The sequence below is a fragment of the Homo sapiens genome, chromosome 4 (genome assembly GCF_000001405.40).
Source record: "Homo sapiens chromosome 4, GRCh38.p14 Primary Assembly".
NCBI classification, from domain to species: Eukaryota; Metazoa; Chordata; class Mammalia; order Primates; family Hominidae; genus Homo; species Homo sapiens.
In genome coordinates this window covers 65,928,592-65,944,889 of record NC_000004.12, presented here as the reverse complement: position 1 = coordinate 65,944,889, position 16,298 = coordinate 65,928,592, and the positions used below count along the sequence as shown (strand labels likewise).

At 32.3% G+C, this 16,298-nt stretch overlaps 1 annotated feature.

The window, feature by feature from the left end:
- Positions 1,305 to 1,880: an enhancer, noted in NCBI's record as "OCT4-NANOG hESC enhancer chr4:66808728-66809303 (GRCh37/hg19 assembly coordinates)". NCBI's record gives its function as "activates a minimal SCP1, AML or CMV promoter by ChIP-STARR-seq in naive H9 embryonic stem cells {active_cell/tissue: H9 hESC(naive)}" and the evidence as "EXISTENCE:reporter gene assay evidence [ECO:0000049][PMID:30033119]".

Genomic DNA, 16,298 nt, shown 5'->3' with positions numbered 1-16,298 from the left:
GAAAATAAGCACAGTGAATGCAATAAAACAGTATAAGATAGTGATAGTGATGGTGAGCCACTTAGACTTCCCATATACATCCTTTCCACTGATATAGCTCCAATTTTTGTGATAACCACTCCAATTATAACCATGAAAATAAAGTCAGTTGAAAATTTAGATGGTGTTGAATTGCAATATCATGGACAACGTGTTTCACAATCTTGTTTCCATCAGTCTGAGGTCACTGAAATGTCATCCTTCAGTATGGTTGTTACAGCCTCACAGAATACCCTTGTGCTCTGTGAACTAGAAAATATAGTATCAGAATTTGTCTTTCCATTATATTTAAAGCTGGGTAAGGAATCATCCAGCCCATTTTTCTTATCTCACTTACAACCATGAACCCAGATTTTCTCATCTTTTGTACACGTGATCGGTGTTTCTGGTGGATCACAGAAAACAGGTTACTTAATTCTTCACTAGAATGAAATTCTCATGGCCATCACTTTTTCACAATATCATAACCATGTGGAAATGCTGTATCTTTCAGTTAAAGATATATTTCTTGCTATGAGATCAGGTTGCAATACATATTCTTGAACCCATAATTTTTGGTGGAACCCATAAATTTCAACATTTCGTTTTTTATTTTTATTTTATTTTTATTATTTTAAATGTATTGCTTCTTTAGAAACCTGTGGCATAATTTAAAATATTTGTGAAATTTTTAAATATCTTACCACTATTGCTTTCTAATTAAATTTTATTTTGGGCTACATGAAATATCAATTTTTTAAATCATTGAGAGTTATTTTTATTGTCAAGCATATAGTATATCCTGGTAAAAATTCTTTGCACACTTGAGACAACAGGTGCTCTAAATTTGTTAGGTTTAATCTTCTATAAGTATCAATTAGGTAAATATGGATAAAACGCTGTTCAAATAGTTTATAGTCTTGCTGATTTATTTTGTATTTTTTATTTCAATTACATGTATTTTAACCTTGACTGTGGAATTGTTTATTCTTCCTTTAATTCTATTAGTTTTTCAGTTCTATGTTTTGAAGATATATTATTATGCGCAAATGTATTTTTTAACTGTGTCTTAACATTTGGTCATTTTACAAAATATTCCTTTTTCTTACCAACAATAATGATTGTTATGAACTCTACTGCTTTTGATATTATTATAGATATTTTATTTTTCATATGACTATATTTTATAATTATGATATTTCATGCTTTGATTCTCATCTTGAGTCTTTAATATTTAGTGTACAACTATTATAGACAGGATACACTTGAGTCGTGATGTTTTTGTCCAATATTAAAATCTCTGCCTTTTAATTTGTATGTTTATCAATAATTAATGTAATTACTAATATAGATAGAGTTATTAGTTGCATTCTGTACATTAAAAGATATGCTGCAGTCCTCACTTGTAAATTTCACCTTAATTAGAAACAAAGCCTTTACAGGTGTAAGTTAAGATGAAGTTCTACTGGATTAGGATAGGCCCTAATTCCAATGTCTGTTGTCCTTATAAGAAAGTCAGTAATAGCCACAGGAACACAGAAAAAAAAACCAGGAGAATGCCACATGACAATAGACGCAGATTTTGGAGAGAAGCCAAGGAATGCCAAGTATCCCTAGCAAATACCAGACACTAGGGGAAAGGCATGGATGAGATTCTCCATCAGTCTCCAGAATGTTCCAACTTAACCACAACCTTGATTTCAGACTTCTAGTGTCTAGAAGTATGAGAAAATAAATTTCTGTTGTTTTAAGCCACCCAGCCATTCAAGAAAACTAATGCAATTGCGATGAAGACTACTGTCTTGTTTTGTTTTGCTTTATGGTGATTTTTCTGCTGTTTTTCGTTTTCTGCCTTTTTTGTATTAATAAAGTATAGTTGGGCAACTCATTTTGGCTGTTTTATTGTTTTCTATTTGTTTAGTGAATGCATTAACTGCAATATTATTTTTTCACAGTCTAATTAGATGTAATACTGTGTAAATATTCATGTAAATTATAAGAATACTGTATTATAATTTCATTTATGCTGCAAAACTGTACTCTTGAAGTCAGAAATTTTACTTCTACATACATTATAAAATCTAATTTTGTAATTTTAATTCTACATACATTATATAAGCTAAACTTTAACATGTTTCTGTCTTACATAGTAATCATTTAAAGAAAATACATGATTATTAAATTTAGGTGGGTTTTCCCATATTTTCTCACAAATTTATCATGTCTGGTGCTTTAAAACCTTGAAAAATTATGTAACTTTCCACATAGTATATTTTTTCTCTGGGTTAAGATCTTCCTTTAGCATTTAATGTACTAGAGTCTGCTGGAGACAAATTATTCCAATTTTTACTTAGTTTAATTTGTCTATATTTTATCTAACTTGTGGAGGATATTTTTGTAGAATGTGAAATTTAGATGGACAAACTTTTTCTCTTTTAATACGTTAAAATTGTTATCCTCTTCTCAATTGGTTTTACTTTTTAAAGTCATATTCGTATTGTTGTTTCATTGCATGCACTCAATCTTATTTCTTGGAAATTTTTAAGAATTTCTATTTATCTTTTACCTTAAGCAACTTGTCTATGATGTACATAGGTATGACTGGCTTTTTGCTTGATCAGTTTAAGATTTTCTGAGATCCTTGGATATGCAAGTTATTATTTCTATTAATTTGGAATATTTTTGTCTACATTTTAATCAAATATTTCCTGTTTAATATATAATGTATCTTTTATATATAACATTACATATATGTATATGAAGAGAGAGAAATCACAAGAATGAGAGGTAAAAAATTAGTGTGTGTGTGTTTGTAGAGAGAGACAGAGAGAGAGAGAGAGAGAAAGAAAGAAGTTTCTAAAGCCAGTTCTAACTCTTAACTAAAACTATATAACCTTGGAACATTATTAATATCTGTCTATAACTTAGTTTCCTAATTTTTAAATTTAAAATATCAGCAATAGTACCTAGCCCATAGAGGTATTGTTAGAATTAAATAAGTCAGTATGTGATTGAACCAGAATAAGTCTTCAATATTCAAAATATTCAAAATTTCAAAATTCAAAATTCTTCTCAGAACTACTACAGCATTTTCAGTCTTTATAACTGAGTTGCTAGTAGTATATGGTAATGTGACCTCATTCTTATCATAATATCTAATATTTTACTGATAATACATTTATAGAAGTATCTTTTTTCTCTGAAACATTTTAAGCCACTTGAAGTCAGAGATGGAATGTTCTCTTTTTTTCTGTGTATATCGGAGAAATTGCTAGAGAGATTTAAGGATGTTAACAACTTAAACTATGAATATTTATCATATATTATTAAACTACAAAAACCTTGTAGTCTTGAAGTTGAAGTCAGTAGTGTTTCATTAATTATGTGGAAATAAATAGTAATAACAATTATATTAATTAAATATTTGGAACATTTTATAATAATTTCATTCATATAGTTTTCTTTGACCCTAGGGAGACATCTAACTTTATGTCTTTTTCTGTTTATCAGATTATTATTTTTCTCTGCCTTTCACAAGACAGAAATGTAATGCACTTTACATTTCTTTGATTTTTCCAATGCTTATTTTGTATTCATTTTTCAGTCATCAGCTCAAATATTTCCCTAGCAAATGATGTTTTGTAGATTCTAAAGTAGAAACACTCCTACCTCAACCAATTCTTCTATTCTTTCCTATTACGTTGCTTAAGTTTTGTATATTTTAATCGCTATCTGAAGTTATATTGTTAACTTATTTTCAAGTCTTAGTCTTTTATTTCCCATTAAAATGGTAGCTCTGTGATAAGAAAACCCAGGTTAGTAGATACAGTATAAAGTTGGCCCTCCTATCTAACTATAAATCTCTCTCTCTTTTTTTTTTTTTTTTTTTTTTTGTGGGGCGGAGTCTTACTCTGTTGCTCAGGATGGAATGCAGTGGCGCTCACTGCAACCTCCGCCTCCCAGGTTCAAGCAGTTCTCCTGTCTCAGCCTCCTGAGTAGCTGGGATTACAGGTGCCCACCACCACTCCCTACTAATTTTTGTATTTTTAGTAGAGACGGGTTTCACCATGTTGGCCAGGCTGGTCTCAAACCGCGTACCTCAAGTGATCGGCCCGCCTCAGCCTCCCAAAGGGCTGTGATTACAGGCATGAGCCACCACGCCCAGCCGGTAACCATAAGTTTCACATCCGTGAGTTCAACCAACTACGAATAAAAAATATTGTAAAAATTGCATCTTTACTGAACATATTCCCACTTTTTTCCTGTCATTATTCTCTAAATACAATATAACAATTATTTACATAGAATTTACATTATTAGGGATTATAGATAATCTAAAGATAATTTGAAGTATACAGGAGAATATGCATAGGTTACATGCAGATACTATGCCATTTTATTTAAGGGATTTGAGCATCTGTGAATTATGTCATTCTTGGAAGTTCCTCCTATTCTTGGAAGGTCAAGGATATGGAGTGATGTATATATATATATATATATATATATATATATATATATACATACACATAATCAGTTTCACATGCATACACATACATATGTATGTATATACACTCAGAAACATTTCATAGGTGAGAAGAAATATTGGGTTTTGGTTTTGAAATATTGGTAGAATAAAGATAGCAAGGAGGATAAAAAATAAAAAATGGCTTTAAGCCAGAAAAAAGAAAACACGGGGGAAATATAAATAAGTGAAAAATACAACTTAGCTCAATCAGATTCTTACTAGCACCTACAATATTGCATGACCTTTAGAATCCTTAAAAGCCAATTTTTAAGAATCTTTTCTTGTTTAACATGCATTACCAAAAATATTTTTTTAATTTAGTGATAAAAATCTTGCATCCTATTTTTCTTCAAAATGTCTTTGAATTATATAACAAATAACACTAAACTATAAAGTTCTCTCACTTTTAACAAGAAAAACAAACTTACTGATATATTTTATGCCATATATTAAAAAGGCATAAATATTACACATATATATAATTCTTCTGAGAATATTTTAAATTTTTTTCCAATATTCAACCCTTACATTTATGTCTTACTTCTATATTTTCCCCAAACTACTAACTCACTTTTACTCATTATAAACTTAAACATTCTGTGAAACTAATTTGAATTTTTAAACAAAATTATAGTTCACCATACCCCTCACTAAGGTCAAATCTATTTCATATTCTTTTTCAAATATTCTAACTCAAGTCCTAACTGAATAATAAAAAGAAATTTTTTTAATAGCAGCATCTTGGAAAACTCATTATATAATTTAGTACAGATGTATTCTTTCTGAATTTGAATGTTTTAGTCATATATTATTATTATCTCTTGTATGATAGTGAAACATGTAATGCATAACATAATATATGGTTTTATTGAAAGTAATAGGGTAATAAAAGGTATGGTCATCCAAAAACCTCAAATCTTAAAGTAAGCATTAAGAAAAGACTAGGCATGATACTTTAAATTTTTAAGAATGTAATTTGCCTCGAGACCATATTCATTTCAGTTAGCATCCATAAGTAATTTAAACTTTCTTATTGTTTTTAGCTTTAGACTTGTTTGTCCACACATTTCTCCTCTAAAATGCTAGCAACTTAGGTTATTATCTTGGATGAAGCAGTAAACAAGATATCTATATACCATTAAGAAACTCTTTGACTTAGAATTAAAAAATGTTATGTGTCTATGCAAAGATCATTATCATTTTTGTCCTTTTTGTTGTTCTGTGTATCCAGGTATTAAACAATGCCTAAAACTTTGCCATAACTTTCCAAACTATTTCTAAACTTACAAAAGTGTATAATATTGGTTTCAAAACCCAACTATTAGAAAATATTAGCACAGAATTTAATTTTACTATATAGAAGTCTAAAAATGTTTGTGCCTATGGCTTATAGTTATGCTAGGGCATTGAGTAAGGTAAATGGCTGTGTATTAACTCAAGACAGCCTCATTCCATTGTTGCATGTACCATGGTTTGTAGTCTTGATATCTGCCTCATTGATCGGTGTCTTAGTCAATTCAGGGTGATAAAACAGAAAACCGTAGACTGGGTTGGCTGAAACAACGTAAGTTTATTTCTTCCAATTCTGGAGGCTACGAAGTCCAAGATCAAGGCCCAGGCAGATCAGTCGTCTGGGGAGGGCCTACTTCCTGATTTTCAAATGACTGTCTTCTCAGTATATTGTCACATGGTAGAGATCAGAGAGAGAGAAAATAAAAGCTTCCTTGTGCCTTTTTATAATGTCATGTCACAAAAGCCATTTATGAGGGCCCCACCTTTATGACCTAAATACTTCCCAAAGATTCCACTCCCTAATATCACCACATTGGGGATTACAGTATCAGTGTGTAATTTTGGGGGCACAAAACATTTAGTCCAACACTGTTGCCAAACCCTGTCTCTTTTTACTTTTTCTTTCATGTGTGTCACCATTTCTCAGGAGCCAACCATACAATATTCATTCGTAAGTTAGTATATATATATGCGCCCCTCTCTTTCAGCAAATATTCGGCCATTTGGCCAGCACTGTGTATATTATATATATGTCACAATTGCATTTGGCATACTAGAGAAAAAAATAATGATCAAGCTACACTAGATTATTGTCTTCATAAACTGTATATTATAGGGAAAGAAAGAAAGACAAATATGAAGGCCACACTAATAAGAATTAATGTGTTGATTAGAGAGGTAGAGGGAGGTATTATAACAACATAAGGGAAACAGAACCCACAAAAAGGATATCTAGAAATATTTTAGATATGTGTCTTCAAAGATAGATCTGAAAATGGATGTAAAATAATGTGTTATATATACACAATAGAATACTATTCAGCCATTAAAAAAGCAGCCAATTATTTGTGATGACATGAATAAACCTGAAGAATATTATGTGAAGTGAAACAAGCCTGGCACAGAAGACAAATACTGCGTGATCTCACTCTTATATGTGAAATCTTAAAAGTTAAACTCATGAAAACAGAGAGTAAAATGATGATTACCTGAGGCTGAAGTTGTGGGTAAGGATATTTGTCAAAGGTTACAAAATTTCAGTTAGAAGGAAAAATTTCAAGAGATCTACATACATCACAGGGATTATAGTTAATAACAATGTATTATATTCTTGAAAGAAATGAATGTGAGTAAGGAAAAGTTACTGGAAGAGAGAAGAAAGCATTGTTTTCCAAACAGAACATAATGTTATGTAAAAATCTAGAGGTTTAAAGGCACATAATGCTTCTCAATGGTCATCGCCTTGCTGATGGGGTAAAAGAATAAAAATTCACTCTGCAAAAGAACCACTGCTCTACTGAACAATGCTTCAAGGTGAATTATTAGTTCCTTTCTGGGTAACTGTCCTTTCTTTTAAATTTTTAATTTCAACAAAACTTCTAGCCATATTATTGCATTAAATGAGATTATAGCTGAGTCTTAGTGGTCTGGAATCCAAATATCCTTTTTTGGTGAAAGGCAATTTAAGAATCTAAATCTGATTCTTTGTATCATAAACTTCCAATTTAAGATTTAAAGTGAAATCTTATTTTGTAAAGTATATTATTATTTTTGTTTAGTTGTTTATTTTTCATTATTATGGGTACATATAGCCATTACATATATGGCACATATTTATGGGGTACATGTAATGTTTTGATACAAGCATACAATGTGTAATGATCAACCAGGGTAATTTGGGTATCCTTGTGTTAGAAAAAATCCACTTCCTCTCTTTTACTTTAAACTATGAATATTTATCATATATTATTAAACTACAAAAACCTTGTAGTCTTGAAGTTGAAGTCAGTAGTGTTTCATTAATTATGTGGAAATAAATAGTAATAACAATTATATTAATTAAATATTTGGAACATTTTATAATAATTTCATTCATATAGTTTTCTTTGACCCTAGGGAGACATCTAACTTTATGTCTTTTTCTGTTTATCAGATTATTATTTTTCTCTGCCTTTCACAAGACAGAAATGTAATGCACTTTACATTTCTTTGATTTTTCCAATGCTTATTTTGTATTCATTTTTCAGTCATCAGCTCAAATATTTCCCTAGCAAATGATGTTTTGTAGATTCTACTGGACTTCAAACTATACTACAAGGCTACCAAGGCTACAGTAATCAAAACAGCATGGTACTGGTACCAAAACAGATATATAGACCTGGGCATATTCTCACTCATATGTTGGAGCAGAAAAATGAGAACACATGGACACAGGGAAAGGAACAGAACAGGGGCCTCAGAAATAACACCACACATCTACAACCATCTGATCTTCTACAAACGTGACAACAATAAGCAATGAGGAAAGGATTCCCTATTTAATAAATGGTGCTGAGAAAACTGTCTAGCACATGCAGAAAACAGAAACTGGCCCCCTTCCTTACACCTTATACAAAAATTAACTCAAGATGGATTAAAGATTAATACATAAAACCTAAAGCATAAAAACCCTAGAAGAGGCTGGGCTTGGTGGCTCACGCCTGTAATCCCAGCACTTTGGGAGGCCAAGGCGGGCGGATCACGAGGTCAGGAGATCGAGATCATCCTGGCTAACACGGAGAAACCCCGTCTCTACTAAAAATACAAAAAATTAGCCAGGCGTGGTGGTGGGCGCCTGTAGTCCCAGCTACTTGGGAGGCTGAGGCAGGAGAATGGCGTGGATCCAGGAAGCGGAGCTTGCAGTGAGCAGAGATCAGGCCACTGCATTTCAGCCTGGGTAACAGAGCAAGACACCGTCTCAAAAAAAAGAAAAAGAAAAAGAAAAAAAAAAGAAACCTAGAAGAAAACCTAGGCAATACCATTCAGGACTTAGGTATGGGCAAAGACTTCATGACTAAAACACCAAAAGCAATTGCAACAAAAGCCGAAATTGACAAGTGAGATCTAATTCAACTAAATAGCTTCTGCTCAGTAAACGAAACTGTCATCAGTGTGAGCAGGCAACCAACAGAAAGGGAGAAAATTTTTGCGATCTAGCCATCTGACAAAGGTCTAACATCCAACCATGTTTTACAAACTATGTAATACTCTTACAATAAGACACATTTTTCTTACAACAATAAGAGTGGCTTTTCTATAAATGTACCTAATATGTTATTCTTGCATATGTCATACAATAAATATGTCATATAATATTTAGATATATCATTGTTTTTCTTTTTCTTTCTTTTTTTTTTTTTTAAGAGATGGGATTGTGCTAGAGCAGCACAGGCTGGTCTTGAATTCTGAGATCAAGCAACCCTCCTGCCTCATCTTTGTGAATATCTGGGACTACAGGTATGCACCACATTGACCAGCAATTTGGGAATTTCTTACCCCTCAATCACACTATATGAAATTCATGGAGTCACAAAGAATAACAGGGAAATCTTCTTAGTTTAGGATGTTTATCATCTAATTTCAATGTGAATAATTTTTAGATACAAATAAATCTATAACAAACAGCCTAGCCAGAGTAGAATATTTGAATTAGTGCTTTAGTCTTTGCCCCATTCTGCAGGGCAGTCTGAAATTATTCATGGTGTCCACTGCCATGTTTTTCAGTGTTCATTTTGGGGTAGCATTTCTTTGAGCATAGATATAATATTATTGAATACATGGTTATTGGAAGGGTTTTAAGAAACATATACACATACTGGCTTGCTATAATATCTGCTGCAGGAAAGAGGTGGCATTGGTGGTGTTCGTGGTAATGGTCGTGGTATTGAATCTTGGAGTTGTTGCTGTTGATTTTTTTTCTGCTTTTAGTGTGATTTTTTTAATGGACATATAATAATTATAACATATTTGTAAGGTACAGTGTGAATTTTGGATACATGTATACATGTATAATGATCAAATCAGAGCAATTAGCATATCCATTACCTCAAACATTTATTATCGCTTTGTGTTGGGAATATTCAAATATTAGTTAGAGCAGGAGACTCCAAGTAAGACAAGGATTATTAAAAATAGCCTTTTATTACAAATTTCCATCAATTATACCCACAGCATGATAAATATATTTATATATTCAAAAAGGCACTAATATTAATCATCAAAAATATGAAGTGTACTGTGGAGAGGAAAATTAATGAAATCATTATTAGTTCATTATAGTGTGAAATATTTCAAGCAAGATTTAATATTGTACAAAAATTGAACACCTGAACCGTACAACTGCAATATGGAACACCCAACCAATAACCAATCCTCTGCGTATCTGCATATCTGTGTGTGGGTGTGTAGATCTACCCTCTTACCAATTTTCAGGTGTACAATGCTGTATTGTATCTATAGACACAAGGTAGTACAGAAGCTCTCTAGAATGTATTCATCTTGCCAAACTATCTATTGAACAGTGACTCCCTATTTCCCCCTTACTCCTAGGCCCAGGCAACCAACATTCTACTGTCTAGAGGTTTCTATAAATTCAATGATTTTAGGTACCTCCTATAAGTGGTATCATACAATATTTGGCCTCTATGACTGGCTTATTTCACTTAACATTTTCAAAATTTATCTATAGTGTTGCATATGGCAGGATTTCCTCATTTTTGTAGCTGATTAAAATTATCTTTAGAGAATATACCATATTTTTAAATCTACTAATTCAAAGATAGACATTATGTTTGATTTCACATCTTGGCTATTGTGAAAAATATTATAAAAATTATAATCATTTTTTGATAGAAAGGTATTAGAAAAAAGAATGTTTAACTTAGAACAACTTCAAACACAGCAAAATGGAAAAAACATGAAAATATGTGCATTAAAAACTGTAATGTTTTATTGTTATTTATAAAAATATTGTTTATATGGAGTTTGTACCTTAAATTGTATAATTTTACTTAAAATATTTTCTGAAATATGAAAATTATAACTTGAAATATATTTTATATTAATTTGATTTGAATAATTTATAATTTTTGTACTGTGACTATAGCAATAATTTTTTTTGTGATATGTAGTTATGTCACTCTCTTGTTAGAATATCCTGGCCAACATGGCGAAACCCCGTCTCTACTAAAAATACAAAAAGTGGCCAGGCACAGTGGCACATGCCTGTAATCTTAGCTACTTAGGAGGCTGAGGCAGGAGAATTGCTTGACCTCTGGAGGCCGAGGTTGCAGTGAGCGGAGATCGTGCCACTGCACTCCAGCCTGGGCAACAGAGAGAGACTCTATCTTAAGAAAATAAATAAATAAAATAAAATATACAGCATAGAAATTACTCCCATGAATGAGTATGTTCACAGCATTTCCATAAAAACCCTATTTAACCACTGAAAAATAATACTGTATCAAAATATTAATAAGAATTTTAAACATATAAGTTAAGACTACCATAATGTTTTCAATTTAATACATCTATTTCTAGCTTTGTATATTGCTATCCAATCTTAATCTATGTAACTGCTCCATTGAAGTTATTTGAGCTCATTTGCACATGCCTTTTTTGTTTTAACTACTTTTCCTTTAGTACTATATTATTTAAAAATCAGTTACTAAATAATCTAAATAATCACAAAGTATAATGGCTGACTAGTGACATCTAAAGTGTACCACAGTATTCCTTTTCAGGTTTTTAAATTAAAGGTAAAAAAAAAAGCCACATATGTATTTTTATAAGGGAAAGGTCTTGTTTCTGTCTTTTTCTTTTTGTTTTGGTTTTGGAGAAGTTATTCTTTTAACGTATATTTCTGAGAGTAGAACTCCTCTGTTAAAAAATAAGGTGACATATATGTTTATTTCTGTGCATTTCACATTGCTTTCTGTTCTTGTAATGTTTGTGAAAGCCATCAACAGTGTAAGAATGTACCAATTTAAAGCATGGCATATATCTGGAGTTATCTCTTTTCCCTAATTTAGTGGACAATGAAATGGGCATAATCTTTTTTTCCTTCTTTTAAAGTATGCCACTTTAACAAAATATGTTTTAAACAAAATATCTACCGTTTTCTTAGCAAGAAAATGTTACTGCATTATGAGGTGTCAGCATTTGTATTTCAATAAATGATAGAATGAATTTAACAAAGCAGTATTTTTATTACAAGATTGAAAATGCTTACCTTGGAAATGTATATGTTTCTAACAAAAATGTCAGTACAATGAAAAACTAATGAAGTTTGCCAAAATTAAACATTGATCAGATATGTCTGTGAACAAAAACCTAGATAATTTGAACATATATTGAATAGATCAGCATATTGAGAAGGAAGATACACATTGAAATTGTTCCATGATTACTGTACAATATTTTTGTTCTATAAAAAATGCAAGAAACTCAGAAAGTTAAACAGTTATAATGGGCAAGAAGGAGAGGTAAATGTTGAAATAATTCTTTATAAATGCTTATGAAAATAATTATCCCTCAAACATACTATTATATTTGATTCTACAAAAATCTATAAACATATTAAGAGGACAATAGAATTTTGAGCATTAAGCAGCATGAGGTTTATTAAGAATAGACATGCAACAGAAGCTTAATAGCTTCTTTTGATTCATTGTTAATTACAAAATTAGGGCATGCTGTGAATCGGCTCCATCGTCAATATTTGTACTCTAATAAGCATTTTGGATTACTGTTTTTAAAGCACATTTTGCCATTGTAACTTTTTGCTTGTTTGTTTATTTGAGACGGAGTCTCGCTCTGTCACCCACGCTGAAGAGCAGTGGCACGATCTCGGCTCACTGCAACCTCCGCCTCCAAGGTCAAAGCGACTCTTTTGCCTCAGCCTCCAGAGTAGCTGGAACTGCAGGAGCGCGCCACCACGCCCGTCTAATTTTTCTATTTTTAGTGGAGACAGGGGTTCACCATATTGGCCAGGCTGGTCTTGAACTAACTACTGACCTCGTGATCCACCGGCCTCGGCCTCCCAAAGTGCTGGGATTACAGGCATGAGTCACCGCGCCCGGCCTACCATTGTAACTTCTAATACGTTATTGGTAAGATGCATGTTTGAAGCTAGATATTGTCATTAACCTATTCTATTGAAAAGAGACTGAGATGAAGGTTATGTAACTGTGTGAAACTGGGCAGCAATTTAGTTAGCACAGAAACCAATAAACAATGTTAGTTATAGGATGTCCATATAATGTCCATTATGGGATTTTTACCAATTAGATTACCATATATTATCAGTATAGATTCATCCAAATAATTTTATTTCAATTAAAATAATAAGTTTAAGCTCGTCACAGTGGCTCATGCCTGTAATTCTAGCACTTTTTGAGACCAAGTATGCAGAATGCTTGAGTCTACAAGCTCAAGACAAGTGTGGGCAACATGACCAAACTCCATCTCTACAAAAAATACAAAAATTAGCCAGGCATGGTGGCATGCACCTTTAATCCCAGCTATTCAGGAGGCTGAGATGGGAGGATCGCTTGAGCCTAGGAGATCAAGTGCAGTGAGCTGAGGGTACACCACTGCATTCCAGAATGAGAGAAAGAGCGAGATCCTGTCTCAAAAGAAATATAATAATAATAATAATATGTTTGAGGTTACAAAAATAATTTAAATTGATAAATGGAGTGTACTGATATCTCAGTAAGAAAATAGGAGTATATATGTACAGGAAGACCTATATATATCAACATCACAAATTATTGAGTAAATAAGACATAATTTAAAATTATTTTAGCCTTATATTTTCAGACAAATTATTAAAAATTAGACAAATTTTAGTATGACACTAGCAAAGGAGAATATACTAATTTTACAAACAGGATGGGATTTTTGGACTTTGATAACAATGTCGATTTCAGGAAGTGTTTAGCATCATTCCATTGCACTGAATATCATTGTATTTCAGTCTGTTTCCAAAAAATAATTGTTCAATAAAAAATTATTGATATATTTTATACGTTACATTTAAAAGGTGATCTAGAAACTTATAATGGTCTTTGGCTCAACACAAATTCTAAATCAAATCTTTTCACTTCCCTGATGAAAACTCTCCAGTGATGTCCCCCTACATAACTGAGACTATGGTCATTATATCCATCAGTTTGTGTTTCTAAAGTAATTTCATACCACTCTCCAAAAGCATAGCTTACTCCACTCTTGGTCCACTGGCTTTCTTGTTGATTTTTGAATCTATCAAGTTCATTTTTTAACCCAGATAATTTTCACATAGGCTTCCGTTTCCAACTTTTCTTCAGCTACTTGCCTCTGTAGCATTTCATTGAAGTCACAGCTAAAATATATATTTACTGTTTCTAAAGTACTTCTCTGAGTTTTATTTTCATAATAGCTCCTTCAATCCCTGTCACTTTTTTATCTCCATGAGCACCAGTAACTCATAAATACTTGTTGAATGAGTTTATGAATGAGCTTCAGTTTTTCAGCTATATAGTGAATATATTACTATTGGTGATTTCTAGTGTACCTGCTATATATAACATTATAAAAATATAGCAGCTACCATTCACTGAGTATCTGTCACATGTCATATACTTTCATATTTTTAATACATCAAATTTGCCAGTACTTTATATTGTACCCATTTGATATACGAACAAACAAAAGTTTAAAAGGGCAAAGTGCGTGGCTCTGCATCACAATAATAGTAAATAAAACAACTAGAATTCAAATTCAGGTTAACTGAACTGCAAAACTAAAAAACTATATGTTACTGAGGAATTTTAAAATAGTCTTGTTTCAAAAGATTTGTATGTGGAAGCTGATGTGTAAATGGTTGCTCTAATAAAATCAGGATGGCAATAATTGCAGCAGGAAGGGAGACTAGTAATAAGATCTCCACAAGTTATTCCCTCCCCTTTCAGAGGAAGCACCTAGGGGAACAATCTGAAGATCAATGGACTGTTTAGCACTACCTCTCATACACTAACTAGTAAATATTGGTGCAAACTCTTTCCTGTAGGCTTTATAGAGCCTATTTCATGTTCTGCTAAGAAAAGCCCAGAAATGCAAAGTAGCAAAGTACTTGGGAATGTATCTGTGAAATAAATATTGGGAGAACTTAAATTGTACCCAAATAATCAGAGGAATAAAATTTATGCATGAATTGGAAAATTCAGTAAGTTTTAAAGTTCTCCTAAATTTAATATAAATACAATAACAATAGTTTATATGTAATTAAAAATTAATTTAAAAACTACATATAGAAAGACAGAGTCTTTCAGATAATGTTGAAAATAAAAGACAAAGATGAGAAGTGTCATATTATCAGTTATCAAGATACAGGAATAAACCTTCACTATTTTGAGAGACAAACAAATGAATGAGTAGAATATAATAGAATGTGCAGAAGCAGGTCTGACCATTTATGAATATGTGGTTTATGGCAAATGTGCCCCTTCAGTGCTGTGGTCCTTTTAATTAAAGTTGCCAAGTAATACAATGTAGAAATAATCTTGTAGTATAGTTTGAAGTCAGGTAGCGTGATGCCTCCAGCTTTGTCCTTTTGCCTTGGAATTGACTTGGCAATGCGGGCTCTTTTTTGGTTCCATATGAACTTTAAAGCTGTTTTTTTCCAATTCTGTGAAGAAAGTCATTGGTAGCTTGATGGGGATAGCATTGAATCTATAAATTACCTTGGGCATTATGGCCATTTTCACGATATTGATTCTTCCTATCCATGAGCATGGAATGTTCTTCCATTTGTTTGTGTCCTCTTTTATTTTTTTGAGCAGTGGTTTGTTGTTCTCCTCGAAGAGGTCCTTCACATCCCTTGTAAATTCCTAGGTATTTTATTCTCTTTGAAGCAATTGTGAATGGGAGTTCACTCATGATTTAGCTCTCTGTTTGTCTTGTATTGGTGTATAAGAGTGCTTGTGATTTTTGCACATTGATTTTGTATCCTGAGATTTTGCTGAAGTTGCTTATCAGCTTAAGGAGATTTGGGGCTGAGATGATGGGGTTTTCTAAATATACAATCATGTCATCTGCAAAGAGGGACAATTTGATTCCCTCTTTTCTTAAGTGAATACCCTTTATTTCTTTCTCCTGCCTGATTGCCCTGGCCAGAACTTCCAACACTGTGTTGAATAGGAGTGGTGAGAGAGGACATCCCTGTCTTGTGCCAGTTTTCAAATGGAATGCTTCCAGTTTTTGCCCATTCAGTATGATATTGGCTGTGGGTTTGTCATAGATATCTCTTATTATTTTGAGATACATCCCATCAATACCTAATTTATTGAGAGTTTTTAGCATGAAGGGTTGTTGAATTTTGTCAAAGGCCTTTTCTGCAACTATTGAGATAATCGTGTGGTTTTTGTCATTGGTTGTGTTTATA